The sequence below is a fragment of the Homo sapiens genome, chromosome 2, assembly GCF_000001405.40.
Source record: "Homo sapiens chromosome 2, GRCh38.p14 Primary Assembly".
Classification (NCBI taxonomy): Eukaryota; Metazoa; Chordata; class Mammalia; order Primates; family Hominidae; genus Homo; species Homo sapiens.
In genome coordinates, this window is record NC_000002.12 from 1,938,906 (window position 1) to 1,955,460 (window position 16,555).

Below are 16,555 nucleotides of genomic sequence, written 5' to 3' on the forward strand. Positions count from 1 at the left end.
TGGGTTCCTATTGTAATAATCTGGGGGTTTGTATACATTTGTTTTATCTGAAACAAAACCTCTTAGTAAAGTCCACATTTCAGTTTACTATAGAGGTGAAAATACCCGACTGGATGAACAAATAATGGCATCCAGCCGGGATAAATCGCCTGAGACTTTCTCTCTACTCGCAAGGCTGAGGCCAGCATGACCTTGTCCCAGCAGTTCCGTCACGACGCCCTGGTTTCTGCACTCAGACGGCCACCCTGTGCCACGCAGGATGGGCGCGGGAGTCACACTCCGCTCTGTGCTCTGGCCACGTGGCTTCCTTTTAATCTCAGGTCTCGTCTGTGCTTCTCTGTGTTAGAAAAGGAGCACAATCAACTGCAGGGGAATCGGTTGCTGGCCCAGGGACATAGCAGTCACTAAGAGTGTCACCCAAGGAACATGAAAGGCCAGCCTCGGGATGCTGACCCAGAACTCCAGCGATCAGAGGAATGGGACCCCCCAGCTTTTAGGGAGTGCATGGTTTCTGCCAAGCCACTGGAAGGGAGGACAAAAGGACGTCTCTGGTAGGCACCGTATGGAATCTCCCGTACTTACGCTGCACATCTCACATTAAAGATGCTGCTGTCATGGCAGACATTTACATTTGTTGATAGTGATTTTGGCACTACATTTAACAGTGAGGTAACAAGTGAGTAACGTGCTCAACAAGTGAGAACATTCAAACAGGAGATGGGCTGATGTATGCCTTTCAAAGCCTCCTTTTAATACATTAAACGTAACTAGGAGTTTGATCACGTAAAATGACTGTTCTATCAACAGTTATCCTGTTCCTTTGATATAGAAGCTGCTTGGAGATTTCTGACCCTGATGGGGTATAAGAGACTAGAAGATATTCCATCCAGCTGGAGTACCTGCAGGTGACGTTGGCTAAATGGGGTGTTGAAACACCCACGTGGGGCTCCTCCAATGGAGACGTCCTTCTCCCAGAGAAAGCCTTCGTGAGCGTGTCTCCAGGAGTCAGGCCTCTCAGGTGATTATGTCTTAGGAGAAATGCATTTGTTTGCCTTAGAAATCAAACAAGCCTTCGGTGTCCCTCCAGAGAATCTGTGGCAATGGAAACCTGGTGGAAGGGCCCCGCAAGGGCATGCAAATGCTGTTGTTTCTAAGTGGCTGCCTGGGATCTGGGATTCTCATGAGAGGCTCTCTGAAAGGGAGTGGAGTATCACGCTCTACTGCCAGGATGCTCAGTAAACTGGGTGCACCTGTCTCACACTGGTAGCAGGTAGGTTATCTCTCAACATCTCCCTGTGGCTGCACCCTGCCAGGATGTTCAGTAAACTGGGTGCACCTGTCTCACACTGCTAGCAGGTAGGTTATCTCTCAACATCTCCCTGTGGCTGCACCCTGCCAGGATGCTCAGTAAACTGGGTGCACCTGTCTCACACTGGTAGCAGGTAGGTTATCTCACAACATCTCACTGTGGCTGCACCCTGCCAGGATGCTTAGTAAACTGGGTGCACCTGTCTCACACTGCTAGCAGGTAGGTTATCTCACAACATCTCTCTGTGGCTGCACCCTGCCAGGATGCTCAGTAAACTGGGTGCACCTGTCTCACACTGGTAGCAGGTAGGTTATCTCTCAACATCTCCCTGTGGCTGCACCCTGCCAGGATGCTCAGTAAACTGGGTGCACCTGTCTCACACTGCTAGCAGGTAGGTTATCTCTCAACATCTCCCTGTGGCTGCACCTTCCTGAGTAGCTCACTTGATTCCTTTAAAAGTCCTGTCATAGGTGATAATAGAAGTTATTTCCTTAGGGAGCCAGCTGCTGAACATGAATTCTGAAACCAGGCACCCCACAATTAACTATGAATTCTTTCATGGTCCTGCTACCTCTTCACAAGTGTTTGCTTTCAGCACCTCCTGTCTTCCGTGCTCTGGACTCAGCATTTGCTGACCACATGAGTGGTGGGCACCATGCCAGGTCTGGCCGCAGAGTTAGAAATCCTGGGTCCTGAGGCACGATCAGCCAGTCGCTCCTTTGGCGGTGCTGTCACACATCCACTGGGTGCCCATTTACTTGCATTTTTCTGGCAAAAATGTCTTTAATTCTAGTTTGCTTTCCAGCGTTTAAAAACAATTATATCCTAAGTGTTCAAGTGAGAATAGACAAACCCTATGCAGTCACATTCTAAAGCTATTTCAATAAGGCTTCTGACTACCTTTCAAAGTACATCACTTTTTATTTTTAAAGAAATATTTACATTTGACCATAAATAAACTAAAATTGAATTTTTAATTCTAGAAAATGAAGAGCAAAACTTAAAACCTGGTTAAGGCCCCTGGTGTAAACGATACCTATTTACAGATTTCCTATCTTAATCCGTCGCACCAAACATGAATGCCTCCTGCTTTCCAAACGGGTGAGAACGTGAAAGAGCCACATTGTATACCATCTTTCTAGTAAGCCCTGGGCAAGTTACAAATCATTAATCAGCCTCCACAATTAATGAGTCACTCAAAATGACACTCACTTAATACAGTGTCCAGAAATAATTTGCCAGGTTGATCTACTTTCCAAATATTTTACTACACAAATCTATTATTTTAATTCTTAGCATCTCATGAATGACACTGGTGCCTTGTGTCCCTGGTAGATTTAATAGCGATGATGGTAAGTCTGTTGATAGGTGTTCTGATAGGCCTTCTCTACCCAGCATTCTACCATAGCGAGACAAAAAATCTTGGGAGACTAATTTTAATTTATGTAATGCATGTGTGTGTGCATATGCATCTATGTGTATATACATATCTATCTATGTGTGTGTACATATGCATCTATGTGTATATATACATATCTATCTATGTTCTGTATATCTATCTGTGCCTGTGTATATATGTACATGTAAGTAAGTGATGGATTGTTTGCATAGGAATCTTAAGCCACTGTAACAATCTAGGATTATTTCATAAAATTCAGGTTTCCTAGTACAAACTCCTCTGACTTCTGAAGGAGGAGTGGTAATTTAAGCCTGCACATGAGATTAGCAACAAGCAACTCACATCTCCCTGATGTATGGAGGCCCTACCCACTGGCTGAAACAACTACCCTTTGTGTCCAGAAATTAGTTCTCCTGGTAATCAGATTCTTGAAGAACTTTTGAGCCCAAGGGAGAGGGGCAAGAAAGAAAATTCCCTTCACTTACAACATGTTTGGGCATTTCTATGAGGAAAACCCTAAGCCAATAAAGATGATAGCTAGGCTTTGCAAAAAAACAAACAAGCAAACAAACAAACAAAACCACAAAACTCCCACCTCTTTCCTCAGAAGAAATGACTTCTATGAAAGGGTTAGTTCTGAAGTGGTATTGTGCGTCGGATAGTAACAGAACACTGGACATGAAAGCCATGTCACCGTAAACGCACTGCCGGGAACATTCCCAACACACAGCATGGCGGCCTTCTCCCTGGCATGTCTCAGAGCACCGGAAACCCCAGATCAGAAACAGCTCTCACATATGGAAGCAGATGACCGGCTGATTATCTTGTAGCAATACTACTTCCTTTCATCCCAATTATGTGACCATCACTCAAGCAAAGCTTTGGCAATCTACAGACAAAACCCACTTTGCTGGTTGATGTACCAGTCATTAGGCAGGACTTCCAACTCCCCTGAGGAGGTACCTGGGCTAAGCCATTCCAACAACACTGTTTTGCCCTTTGCCCAATCATTGTATCTCATGGATACAGCATTCAGGAAAATGTAAAATTAAAGACCAGGTCGGCTAACTTAACTTCCTTGATACATTTTGTTAAGCTAATCAAAAAAGTACACCATAAATATCTCAGTAAATTACTGACAACCAAACTGAATAAAAATTAGACTGACATAAAATCTGAAGTGTAACAGAGAATCTGAAGAATTCTTTAACAGAAGTGTTCAGTTCATATAAGAGGTTAATTTTCTCAGTATTGACCAAGAAGAACAATTTCTTTATATGCCAGTCATTCGTAGTAACAGCCGGCAATTCACCTTGAACAGTGGACCCAAATCACGACTTGTTACTTTGCTAATATTTTAAAGATTACCGTTTTCTTCTTCCTCTTCCTCCTCCTCCTCCTCCTCCTCTTCCTCTTCTTCATCCTCCACATCTTCTCCATCCTCGTCATCGTCCTCATCCTCCTCCTCGATCTCCTCCTCCTCCTCCCGGTCCCCCTCCTCGTCCTCCTCGTCCTCATCCCCTGGCTCATCATTGTCCTCGGAGTACTCCTCCCCCTCATCCTCCTCCTTCTCATCCATGTCCTCAGTCCCATCACTGTCGTCACACTCATCCACTGAGGAGCTGTCTGCTTTCACGGCAAATGGCTTTCGTTTAGGAGCAGGTTCCTGGGGCTGTTTATCTTGTGTTTTTCTTTTTTTCGCCAAGGGACAACCATATACACTAATTAAAAAAATAGAGAAGGCAGGGGAGAGAGAGAAAAAAAATATCTGTGTTACTGTCTTTTAAAATCAGACCAATGGGGGCCTTGATCAAGGTACTTAAAGGCTTATCATGAATGTCATCAGCACAAACACCAGAGAGACATAACATACATGTTCCCCGAAGTGTGCTGAAATCTGTTAATGAAGTGATAGTGCAAATAAATACCGCTCACATTTGTCTAGTTACCATTCACATTTAGTCCAAGTCTCCTAGTTCCTCGTTCCTATAATTCCAGAGATCCTACGAAAATTCATGAGATTGGTTTGCATAATGTGTATAACATGTAATTGACAATACAAATTTATGAAACATTTTACCAAATATATACTATGTATAATATACATCTGAAGCAAGATTTATTTTAATCACATTATATTTACATATATATTTATGTAAAATATAAAAATGTCTATGTCGTGAAAGAGCTTTGGATATATTTGGATTTGTATATTTTATGGATTAAATTATATCTTTAGACTTGATAACCTCCTGAAACAAGATGAGCCCTAGGGCTTGTCAATGTTGTATGAAAGCAACTGCATCATTCAAAGTTCTGCAGAACTTCCTCAGTCTTAGATGTTATTAGTCCCACGCCAGCATTCCAGAAAACAACTTCAGTGTTAGCGGTAATCACCACTAAATCACGCTGAAATTGGCCCAGGCTTGGATGAGACCCTTCCTTACAGCAGAAGCTCACAATCTTTCCTTGAGAAACAACGATTTTCTTTTTTTTATTATTATTATACTTTAAGTTCCAGGGTACATGTGCACAACATGCAGGTTTGTTACATATGTATATGTGTGCCATGTTGGTATATTACATTAGATATATCTCCTAATGCTATCCCTCCCCGCTTCCCCGACCCCACGACAGGCCCCAGTGTGTGATTTTCCCCATCCTGTTTCCAAGTGTTCTCATTGAGAAAGAATGATTTTCAAAGCTACATTACAAATTCACTTTTGTTGTAGAAATAATATATATACTACAAAAAAATAGGTGGGTTAGGGGAGACATAGAGGCAAACTACCGCAGGCAAATACTCCATTTATGCAGAACGAGATGTGTGGCCTCTCTCATTGGCCCATTATTCTGCAGGGTGAGATGTGTGGCCTCTCTCACTGGCCCATTATTCTGCAGGGTGAGAGGTGTGGCCTCTCTCACTGGCCCATTATTCTGCAGGGGGGCTCCTGCACACCTTGACTAGCTTGGCTTTGGATCTGGGGTAGTGAATGATCATTCAGTCATGACCCTGACCAGTGTGTACTATTTGGGCAACTCCTCTATTTTGGGTCATGGGCTATGCTGGAGTTCAGAGATGAGTGGCACAGATCTTCACACCAAGGCTTTATGCTCTAACAAGGGATTTAGACAAGTCACAAATACCATTTTAGAACCTCTCACTCCTGTGTACACCATGCACCAAACACCTGGCATGTCATAGACACTCAATAGGCATTTGCGGAATGAAAGGATGAAGTGTGATAAATCCCATAATGAAAACGTGCAGAGGGCTCTATGTCCTGTACACAGAGGGCAGGCATGCACGGGTGCTAGCAAGGCTTTCAGGAAGAGGTGAGGCTGCTGATGAGCTTTCACAGATATGTAAAGGATGTCTGGGAGGGAAACAAAGCATTTCAATACATCCCAATTAAAACAATCTGCGAAAGACATGAACATATGTAAGAACACCAGGGGCTCAGAAAACTAAAACAAAAGCAAACCCCAAAGGCTGGAGCATAGAGCGGGGCTGGGCCAGGAGGTGGAGGTCAGAGTGGAGAGTCCGGCGGGGTCCAATCAACTTCGTGGATGAATGATGGGACTCTGGATTTTGACCCAGGAAACAGGGAGTGATACGAGTTCTTTCAAGCACTCAATAATGCAATTAAAATGCATGTTGGATAGGTGCGAAGCGGAGGACAGAAGAGAGGAGGTGCAGGCTAGAGATGCGGGGAGCAGAAGACAGCCAGCGCCATGTTCAGGTGGGGACTGGGATGAGAAAGTGAGCTGAGGAGGGTGCCCAGATCATGAGACAGATGAGAGAGGCCAGGAGGACCAAGGGCCGTGAGGGAGCTCCTTGGTACAGTCAGACCCTGGGTGAGAAGGTGCTGGGAGAGAGCGTGAGAGCAGGACACAGTGTGTGTGGACCAGGAGGAGCTTGCATTGCCCATGGCAGGTCTTGTTGGTCAACTGACTTTGGACAGATGTTCAACCTTATACATTAACATCATCAGCTGTAAAGTCAGAAAAATGCTAATCTCACATGGCTGCATTAAGGATGAAATGAAAAAATATATATATATGTAAAGAGGTTAGTACTGAATCTGGCACCTGCTAGGTACTCCATGAATGATAGGAACTGCTGTGTAATAGTGATAATAACAAGAAACTTTTGCTATTTTTTATTTTTATTCAGGTATCCAATTATCCAACAAACATGTCGCTCCTTAAAGTTTTGGAAACTAATGATTGTCCTGTTTGTTTCTTCTATCAATACTTCTAAAACGATTTAGACCAATTGCACTAGCGAAAGGGAAGAGAAACAATTTTATGTTTCTTAGGAAGCCAGTTTTTCTTGATAGGTTGTGGTTTGTGGCCTGTTAGGAACTGGGCCACACAGCAGGAGGGGGCGGCAGGCAAGCGAGCGAAGCTTCTTCTGTATTTACAGCTGCTCCCTATTGCTCGCATGACCACCTGAGCTCTGCCTCCTGTCAGATCAGCAGCCACATCAGATTCTCATGGGAGCTTGAACCCTACTGAGAACTGAGAACTGTGTATGTGAGGGATGTAGGTTGTGTGCTCCTTATGAGAATCTAATGCCTGATGATCTGTCACTGTCTCCCATCACACCCAGATGGGACCATCTAGTTGCAGAAAAACAAGCTCCCACTGATTCTACATTATGGTGAGTTGTAAACTTATTTCATCATATATTACACTGTAGTAATAAAAATAAAGTGCACAAAAAATATAATGCACTTGAATTACATCCTCTCCACCCCCAAACCATGGAAAAGCTGTCTTCCATGAAACTGGTCCCTGGTGCCAGAAAGGATGGGGACCGCTGCCCAGGAAGACACAAGCATGGGGTAGGGGCAAGAGCTGAGGGACTTCATTGCCACCTTGCTGCGTGACTCAGGGAGTCCCTTCATCAATTTGGATGCCACTTTTTAAGTCTGTAAGATGAGGGCAGTTAGATGACTTCTAAGTCTCTATCAGCCCTGAAACACTAGGGTGAAACGTTATCATCCCTTAAAAACATAATAAGCAAAACAAGAATAACAATTTTAATCACCAGATAATTCAAGAAAAAAAATTCATCTATAGTCTACATAACATTTCAAATATGAAATAAACAGATTTCTGGGATTCCTTTTATATTTTCATTTGTGAGGGGATAATCTGAGATAATAATCTCAGAGCCAGCCACACCTTCATGCTGAATCACCACCGGACAACCTGTCAAGTCTAAGCCCAACACCAACCAACCTCCTCGCAGGGCCACCTGTATCTGAGTAGACTTGTTCTGGTGGATACCTTCTGTGTTTGTTCAGTTAGCAGATAATAGATGCAGCTGTGCACGGATGGCTCCTCCAGAGCCTGCCCTTGGTGTCGCGGGTCATAATGACCGGAGCTTTTCCCAGCTTCCTTCTCCTTCATCAGTGCATCAATATGTTTGTCTGACACAGTCTGTTCTGCACTGAGGCCACCTGCACAGCACCATTCACTAAAACAGATAACTAGGCCCACCGTGACCATCTATGAGTCCCGATTGCTGGGAAGTGATGTCACCCCACTTGGCTTGGTGCTATTCAGTGAGGTGACTGGGGGTAAGGTGGGGCTCCTGTTTCATTTTCTCCCTGCTCATTCACACGCACAGCCGCCCTCCTTTTCAAGATGGCTCACTTGTTGTTCAGACTGTGCGATGTTGGCCCCATGAGGTTTAGAGGAGGGGAGTGGAGATTTTCCTTAGAATGGATGCTGCAGTTAGAAGTGAGCACAACTGGGCTTCACTCATGATCACCTGGGACAGCTGAGAGTTTGGAGGACAATGTATCCGGCTAGGAGGACGTTTGAGAGGATGGGGTCTGGGCCGTAGGGCATTGCTGTGGTGGGTGTCTGAGTCCCAACCTTGGAGAACATGTCTGGGCCATCGAGGCGTGGGAGGCGGGCTGCCTCCTGCTCACATGTCCTCTGAACTCCCCTGCACCTGCAGCTGGCTGGCTCCCTTGCAGAGGGCCCGCCCACTTTCATTGCTTTTCCATCTCCTGGCAGCTGCCATGGCTCCTACTCCATTAGAACTTGCTGGGCATGGGAAGGTAGTGGAGGAAGAGGGACAATAAATAAGCAAGAGTAGAAAAAAAATAGTTGATCAAGATAGTTGGAGAAGGTGAGTGTGTGTGGAAAGTCAAGTACACATGGAAAAGAAAAGTGAGGAGTTCATCTGGTCTCTGCCAGGACAATATTGGTATAATCCTATCAAGCAGGGTTTGGTTTAATATGTGAAACATTTCACAAACAGCCTGAGCGTATCCAGGGTGGTGATGTGTAGAGCACACCACACGACCAAGGGCGTGAGCTCCAGGCTTGGTGTTGTTAACACCTCTTTGAGCACCCGGACTCCGGCTGGGCCTTAGTTTACCTATCGATGTGATAGAAGCGTCGGCTGTTCCTTTACTCTCTAAAGCTTTACATGTTTTAAATTTCCTAAATGATTCCCTTCCCGTGGTGGGAACTTTCTGATGAAGTGTACGTTTCAGTACCTTCTAGTCTTCTATTTTCACTTGAATTGGTTTTACTTTCCTATCCCTACATTTTGCAAGCTCTTGGATTCAGCGTAGCAACTTTTGGAATCATCTGGCGTCAAACTTCCAGTGCTTCCTGCCATTTGACATGGTTCATTGCTCACGATTTGCTCTCTATTTGTTAATGTAAAGCGTGAATACAGTCGTATCCCCAACTACAAACAAGTACCCTCTGTCCCTTCTCTCTCTGATCCATTCTCCTACTGCAGTTCCTGGTATCTACTTCCATGGTGGCAACACATTCAACCACCAGGCACATTCCATTACATCTGTGTTCAACTCCACGTGGCTCGAGGCCCTGCTTAAATCAACACAGCCCTCTTGGTCTCCAAAGGTTTAGAATATTTCAAATGGAGGCCTTGGAAAGCAATTCTGGGACATGAGTTTGGGGAGTGTGTATCCTCCTGCCCTCGTATTCTGTGAACAGCGTGTCTGCTGATGGGGCGGTGATCTGGAAAGAGAGGAGGATGTGGGGGCACTGGTGGTGCCGCCCAGCAACACCAGTGAAGGGCTCAGCCCAGGACCTCAGCTCACCCTGTCAGTGCCTCAGAGATGCTGTGCACTCTGGTCACCTCCATGGCTCCGCAGCTGGCTACTGCAAACCTCTGAGGCACAAAGGCAGCCCTTTGTATTTGAACATCATTCTGCAAGACTGAGTTCAACATCCACAATGCACTGACAGAATGATGTTTACTCACATATCCTCTCCTAGATTTATATCTCTTTTTATGATATAAATCTAAAAAGATATTTTTATATCTTTAGGATATTTTTAGGATGATGATATTTTAAGATTCCAAAAATAATGCACTGTCTCTTTTTTCACACAGTTGAAACTTCAAAGAAGTCGTAAATATGATCACTAGTAAGATCACGGTAGCTCAATAGTTCTCTGTTGACAAAATACCCCTCCCGTCATTTTTCCAGAGTGTGTCCATAACATGATTCTCAATGCAGAAGCAAGGCAGGGAAGCTAGCAGTGGCCACATCTCACAGAAAACCATGCTGTCTTATCCTTGGACTTCTCACAATTCAGCAGCAGCCAGCGACAGGAGTGGAAGTCCAAGACACTTTGGGTAGAGTGAAAAGGCAAACGCATGCTGGATTAGAAATGAGAAAACCTGGCCTTTCCATGTTTTCACCCTATTTAGGTTACGCAGGGTTACACATGGAGGCCTGGCATCCCGTCACCCCCACCCCCTCCAAGCCAGCCTGGGCCATGCCTCCTGGGCCCATGCGGATGCCTCACGATGTCTTTTTGCTGTTGTAGCTTTCACAGTTCTTTTGTGGTTAACTCGGTGTCAACAACTTCCAGTTTTTTGCATCTGGTTATTCTAGAAACCAGTTGCTGGCCATGGCTTTCCCTCACAAACTCATACACATACAACATTATGTAGTGCATTCTCGCACTTCCATGTCATGTATAAAGGTCTTTTATTGAATGTTTTGTTTATCCAATTTTAATATAAACAGGGATAAGGTCTCAAGTAACTGAAAACCAAACTTGGCAGCGTGTGCTCTGCTCCCAACTGCTGTTATCACCGCCGTGGAGAGAGGAACGAGGTGAGGGTGGGAAGTGTCCTGTGCGTGGGCCTCTCCCACCAGAGAGCGGGGCTCGGAACGTCAGGGTGATTGACCAGTCGGCTCAGAGGCCTGACAGTGATTCCCCACAACCACCTCTTTTAGAGATGGTATTTTTCTTGTATTGCTTGAATAGCCTCCATTGGGTCAATGTTAAAACACTTATTTTGGAATAATTTTTAACATATTTAAACTGCATTTGAATATAATTCTGGAGCACCGGTTTTCAACCAGCTCAGTTAATACCAGCACTGCTTAGAAAGTGCTTCCTGTGTGCTTGGCACTTTCTAAAATCTCTATATACACAAATTCATTAAACCCTCTCGGTGACCCTGTGATGTAGATTCTGCTGTAATTCCTAACTTTGAGGGACAGAGATTTTTTGAGTCACTTGTGTAAAATCACAGAGCTGAGTAACAGTGGAGGAGGTTTGCAAACCCCTTCTCCATGTCCTGATTTTCTGATCTCTGAAGGGGGATATTAATCCAACCCTGTTTCTTATTGGGCCATGGTAAGGATCTCACTAAATAAGAATATCTATTTTTCCCTAATGCCTGTTACATAGTAAGAAGGTGCCACATAAATATGTGCTGAGTGAATACATTGCATGATTGATTTATTCCTTTATTTGGAAAGCATGTCACTGAGCAATACAGACCTACTCCCAACCTCATGGGACACCGAGACACAGTTACCCTGCCAGAGAGGACAGAGGAGGCTTCACAGGGGACCAAGATGGGTGTGGGACAGGGAGTGAGACTGAGACAGAGACACAGACACAGAGACACAGACAGTTACCCTGCCAGAGAGGACAGAGGAGGCTTCACAGGGGACCAAGATGGATGTGGGACAGGGAGGAGACTGAGACAGAGACACAGAGAGATGCAGAGAGACAGAGGGACCCAGAGGGCGAGTTCAGGGAGGCTGCATGGGCAGGAGGTGGTCAGAGGCTGGAGGTGTGAGGGTGCAGGCAGTCAGGGCCTCCCAGGTGCTGTTCCTCCTAGGAGCCGTGGGAGCTCCGGACAGTGTAGACAGTGGGATTACTTCTACACAGTTGACTCAAGCCTGCAAAACCATCACTGTGGCTGTGGTGTGAGAATGAGGTGGAGGAAAGGAGAGCTAGATGGTGGAAGGTCATTTAAGGAGCAATGTCAGGTCATAGGTTGGCCTGGGAAGGTACAGGTAGGACATGCAGGAGTGAGGTGAGGGGATACATGTGGGACGCGGCCTGGTTGCCAGCTCAGGTAACTGGCAGGTGGAGGTGTGTGCACTGGTACGGAAGACACGGGAGACTCAGGTCTTTGCTGGCTTGGTTTTGGTTGGGAACAGAGGCTTACAGGTGATTCTCTATAATCTCTTCTTTTTCAGATGCAGAAATACCATACTTCTCTGTGGTTGCTAAATTTGAGGTGTCTCAGCTTAGGTGACCTCTAGAAGGGCTGAAGTGTTGGTTTGGGGCAGTCAGTGGGTGGATGTTGTAGACATGGTGGGGAAAGAGGCAGTTTCCTGGGAAGAGTGAGGGCTCCACCCTGAACCCTTAGGGACACAGGGGTTTGGGGACTGGGGAGGGAAGAAGGGGCCAGCAGAGGGGACAGAGATGAAGAGGTCAGGGGATGGGTCCAGGGAGCATGAGGCTGGCCCAGGAGACACAACCCACAGACCCTCAGTCATATCCACAGGAAACAGAGAACATGGGCTAGCCCAGGAGACACAACCACAGACCTTCGGTCACATCCACAGGAAAGAGAGAAGGCTGGGGTCATCACCCAGATCTGAGTGGTCCATGAACAGCAACCAGAGCCACGTAAATGTTAGTAATATCAGCACAAGGTCTGTGCACCTCACCAAGTCGCTCCAGGATCTGCCCCTGTTTAACCGCGGGAGATGTATTTACCTCAGCCTCAGTCTATCCATCTGTGAGATGAAGGGTAGTGCCCATGCTACACACTTAGGGCAGCACACGAAAAACAGTCCACATGAAACACCCAACGACTAGCAAGCGGGGGTGCTTCCCAAATCTGAGTTCTCCTTTTCTTATTTCCTTTCTCATGTCTTAAGAACAGTTGATATCCTTTCTCACCACTAGCCCTTTAAAGCGTTACTCTTATACGTTTCTAGAATACATAAAAGCACTTAAAAAGATGTCAGAAATAGTTGAAATCATTGAACTATGCAATTAAATAACTAGCATTTCCAACCAAACGTATATACTAATAAAACCAATTCAGTTTTAACTACATACTTCCTTCCTTTTAAAATATTACATTAAATATATTTTAACATTTTTTAAAGTTATTTTTTCTCTGTATTGTTACAAAGGCATAGCTGATTTGAAAACTATGTATTTTCTTAAACTTGACAGACACGTTCTATACATGAAAAACATTCAACAAATAATTGTTTAAAATGTTTACTTGAACCTCTTAGGGAATTTAAAAATAATCTCAGTTTCTGGAATGCAGGGAGTTGTTTTTTTATCTTTTTAAAGTCACTTTAAATGATGTAGCCAGTTATTAAATATTTATTGTCTTGAATAGTAATTCAAGATTCAAATAAAGTTACAATAATCACTAAATTTAATCTCTTTCAATTCCAGAACACTAGTTCTTTTGAACTCAATAATGAGAGTAAAGGTACCTCTCGGGCTTTGACCATTTGTCAATGCATGTGGACGCGCATCTTGGAGGTAGATAAAGTGCAAATGGGAGGCTCGCATGCACGTTTTCCAAACCAGCTTTCCAGGAGACGTGGTTCTCCGACAGCTGGGATTGTTTCTTATATGTCTATTTTTTCTTCTTGGAATTCCAGTTCCCAATTCCCAAGTGTGCCTCTGTTCCTTTAAAGCTGAAAGACTTGAACTAATGCGAACCCTTGTGTGCCACGGCACACCACCCCCAGCCATCAGCACCAACAATGCTCCTTTGTCCTCCTTCCTTCCTTTCTTCCTTCCCTTCCCTCCTTCCTTCCCTTCCCTCCTTCCTTCCCTTCCCTCCCTTCCCTCCTTCCCTCCCTTCCCTCCTTTCCTCCCTTCCCTCCTTCTCTCCCTCCCTCCCTTCCTCTCTCCCTCCCTCCTTCCCTTACCTTTGCCTTCCCTTACCTCCTTCTTTCCCTTCCCTCCTTCCTTCCCTTCCCTCCTTCTTTCCCTTCCTCTCCCTTCCTTCCCTTCCCTCCTTCCTTCCCTTCCCTCCTTCCTCCCTCCCTCCCTCCCTCCTTCCTTCCTTTCTCTTTCTTTCTTTTCTTTTCTTTTCCTTCCTTCCTTCCTTCCTCTTTCCTCTTTCCTTCCACCCACCTCCACAGGCTCAGGTGATCCTCTCACCTCAGCCTACAGAGTAGCTAGGACCACAGGGATATACTACCAAGCTCAGCTAATTTTTGTATTTTTTGTAGAGATGGAGTTTTGCCATGTTGCCTAGGCTGGTCTTGAACTCCTGGGCTCAAGTGATCCATCTGCCTTGGCCTCCCAAAGTGCTGGTATTACAGGCATGGGCCACCACGCCCAGCGTCTACTTAATTTTTAAGAAGTTAAACTATTTGGTCACCCCTTTGCTGTAGCATGTGAGATTCCACTGCGTGTCCACAGTCACCCTTCACAACTGTTGCCCATTTTCCATCATTCTCATCCCACAGCTCTATGCTCATTTATGATTCTTCTTGCTGGAATTTTCTCTCCTACTGATCCTTTAAGACCCATCTCAAGTTCCCCCTTCTCCATCATGTCATTCCTGCTCATCCTGGAATTCAGGGTCATGTGTTGTTAGCAACTCTGTGTCGCTAGACATTTACCATCTAAGTGTCAACCACCTCGCGTTGCTCTTGATTTTCCATGTGTGCTTATCTTATTGTCTCAATTTAGCTGTTTTCTTTTTGGTTTTAGAGGCTTTGCCATCTAATTAATTATTCCAAGTCCCATTGTGCGAAGCAAAGGGGTGGGTGTTCAGTACCTCTGTTTCCACGGACTGAGTGGATTGACTGGTCTGCCAGTGCTTCGGTGTGTTTCTATCAGCATCTGCTTTTCACGAAATCATACTGCCTCTTTTCTGCCAAAACAGAACTCACCACCCTTGCCACTTGCAAGACTAGAATGTTGATAATGTTACCACAGAAGTATTCTAACCACCTACCTCATGGCAGTGAGATTGGCCAACTAAGCTGCTGTATGAATATATTCAGGTTACCAGGGTGCTCTTTAAGTGATGTTCCATTTTAGTGAAAAACCTGAGAAGGTTGACGGGGCTCCCTGGAGTGTCCAGTTTGCTACAAGCTAGTGAGTGGGACTCTACTTACTAGTGCAACACCCTCAGGACAGGAGAAATCTGGTGGAGGGAGAAAGCTTGAAAATCACTTAATCCATCTTTTCACCTAGAAAATAAAGTGGCATGCACAAAGTCAAAGCCTCAGGTTGTACAGAGCTAGACGTTCCACCCTCTAAGCAAGCACCTCCCCTGCCAGGCCAACACAAACGCTGAAGTCACCGTGAGTCAGAAAACATACGGCAAACGCGAGGCTGCGTAGCCACTGCTGCTGGCACTCACTGCCCGTTAGATGCTCCAGCCATGGCCACTGCCCATTTGACGCCCCAGCCACAGTCACGTAGAATAACGTGTCCAGAGAGGATATTGCCGAAAACAAACACCACACGTGCAGTCAGTCCATCCCAATGACATTTTCAGTGTTGTCTTTGTGACCATGCATACGTCCACACCAGTGCTCTACATCAGGAAGGTGCTAGGACACACTGAACGTCAGCACAGCAGCACAGACGATGGGCCTGCATTTAGTGCAGTTGTGAAGAGATTCTCTGCTTGGTGTGCTGTGTTCACAGCAACCACCGGGACAACATCAGCAGCAAGTGGCTGTTCCACTTTCCACTGTCAGGGGTCCTCAAAGACTCATGGGATAGCACTGGTGCCATTCTCTTTTCCAGGGACCCCTGAAGTTACAGCAGTACTACCACCTTGAATGATAGTAATTACAATTGATTTGAAAAAGTGAGAAACAAGCTTTATAAAAATGTATGATTCTGGCTGAGTGCAGTGGCTCACTCCTGTAATCCCAGCACTTTGGGAGGCCGAGATGGGTGGATCACCTGAGGTCAGATGTTTGAGACCAGCCAGGCCAAACATGGTGAAACCCTGTCTCTACTTAATAAAAAAAGAAAGAAAGAAAGAGAAAGTGAGAGAGAGAAAGAGAAAAAGAGAGAGAGAGAAAGAAAGAAAAGAAAGAAAGAAAGAAAGAAAAAAAGTTAGCCGGGCGTCGTGGCATGCACCTGTAATCCCAGCTACTCAGGAGGCTGAGGCAGGAGAATCTCTTGAACCCAGGAGGCAGAGCCAAGATCAAGCCACTGCACACTCCAGCTTGGGCAACAGACAGAGAGTCCATCTCAAAAAAAAAAAAAATATGATTCTACGAGCTACATGTTTGCACCAGGGAAAAGTTATAAGAAAATGCAGAAAAAAAAAAATGGCTAAAGATGCCCCTTCTTTAGATGTTCAGGACAGAGGACTTTGTCTTGATGTGGTTGGTAAGAAATTATTCAATTGTGAAATATGTAAAATTCTGGTACTTGAATGATTAGATATCTCTATTTTTACTTTGATGATGGAGATATACATTTGAACACTCTTAGCTCAAAGAATTATGATCATGCCTACAATCACATATAAATATATTATATGTAAAATATTATACATACACACCACA

General features: G+C 45.0%; 1 protein-coding gene across 33 annotated transcripts in view; it reads right to left on the bottom strand.

Moving 5' to 3' along the window:
* Positions 1-16,555, bottom strand: part of MYT1L (myelin transcription factor 1 like) — a 542,163-nt gene that overhangs the window by 149,793 nt on the left and 375,815 nt on the right. For 32 of the 33 annotated variants that reach the window (NM_015025.4, NM_001303052.2, XM_011510326.2 and 29 more), the window contains one exon: positions 4,077-4,429. In NM_015025.4, the coding sequence (NP_055840.2) occupies positions 4,077-4,429 (353 nt within the window). Of the gene's footprint in view, positions 1-4,076; positions 4,430-15,139; positions 15,211-16,555 lie in introns of those variants that run through there. The other variant, XM_017003620.1, reaches the window with a different exon arrangement.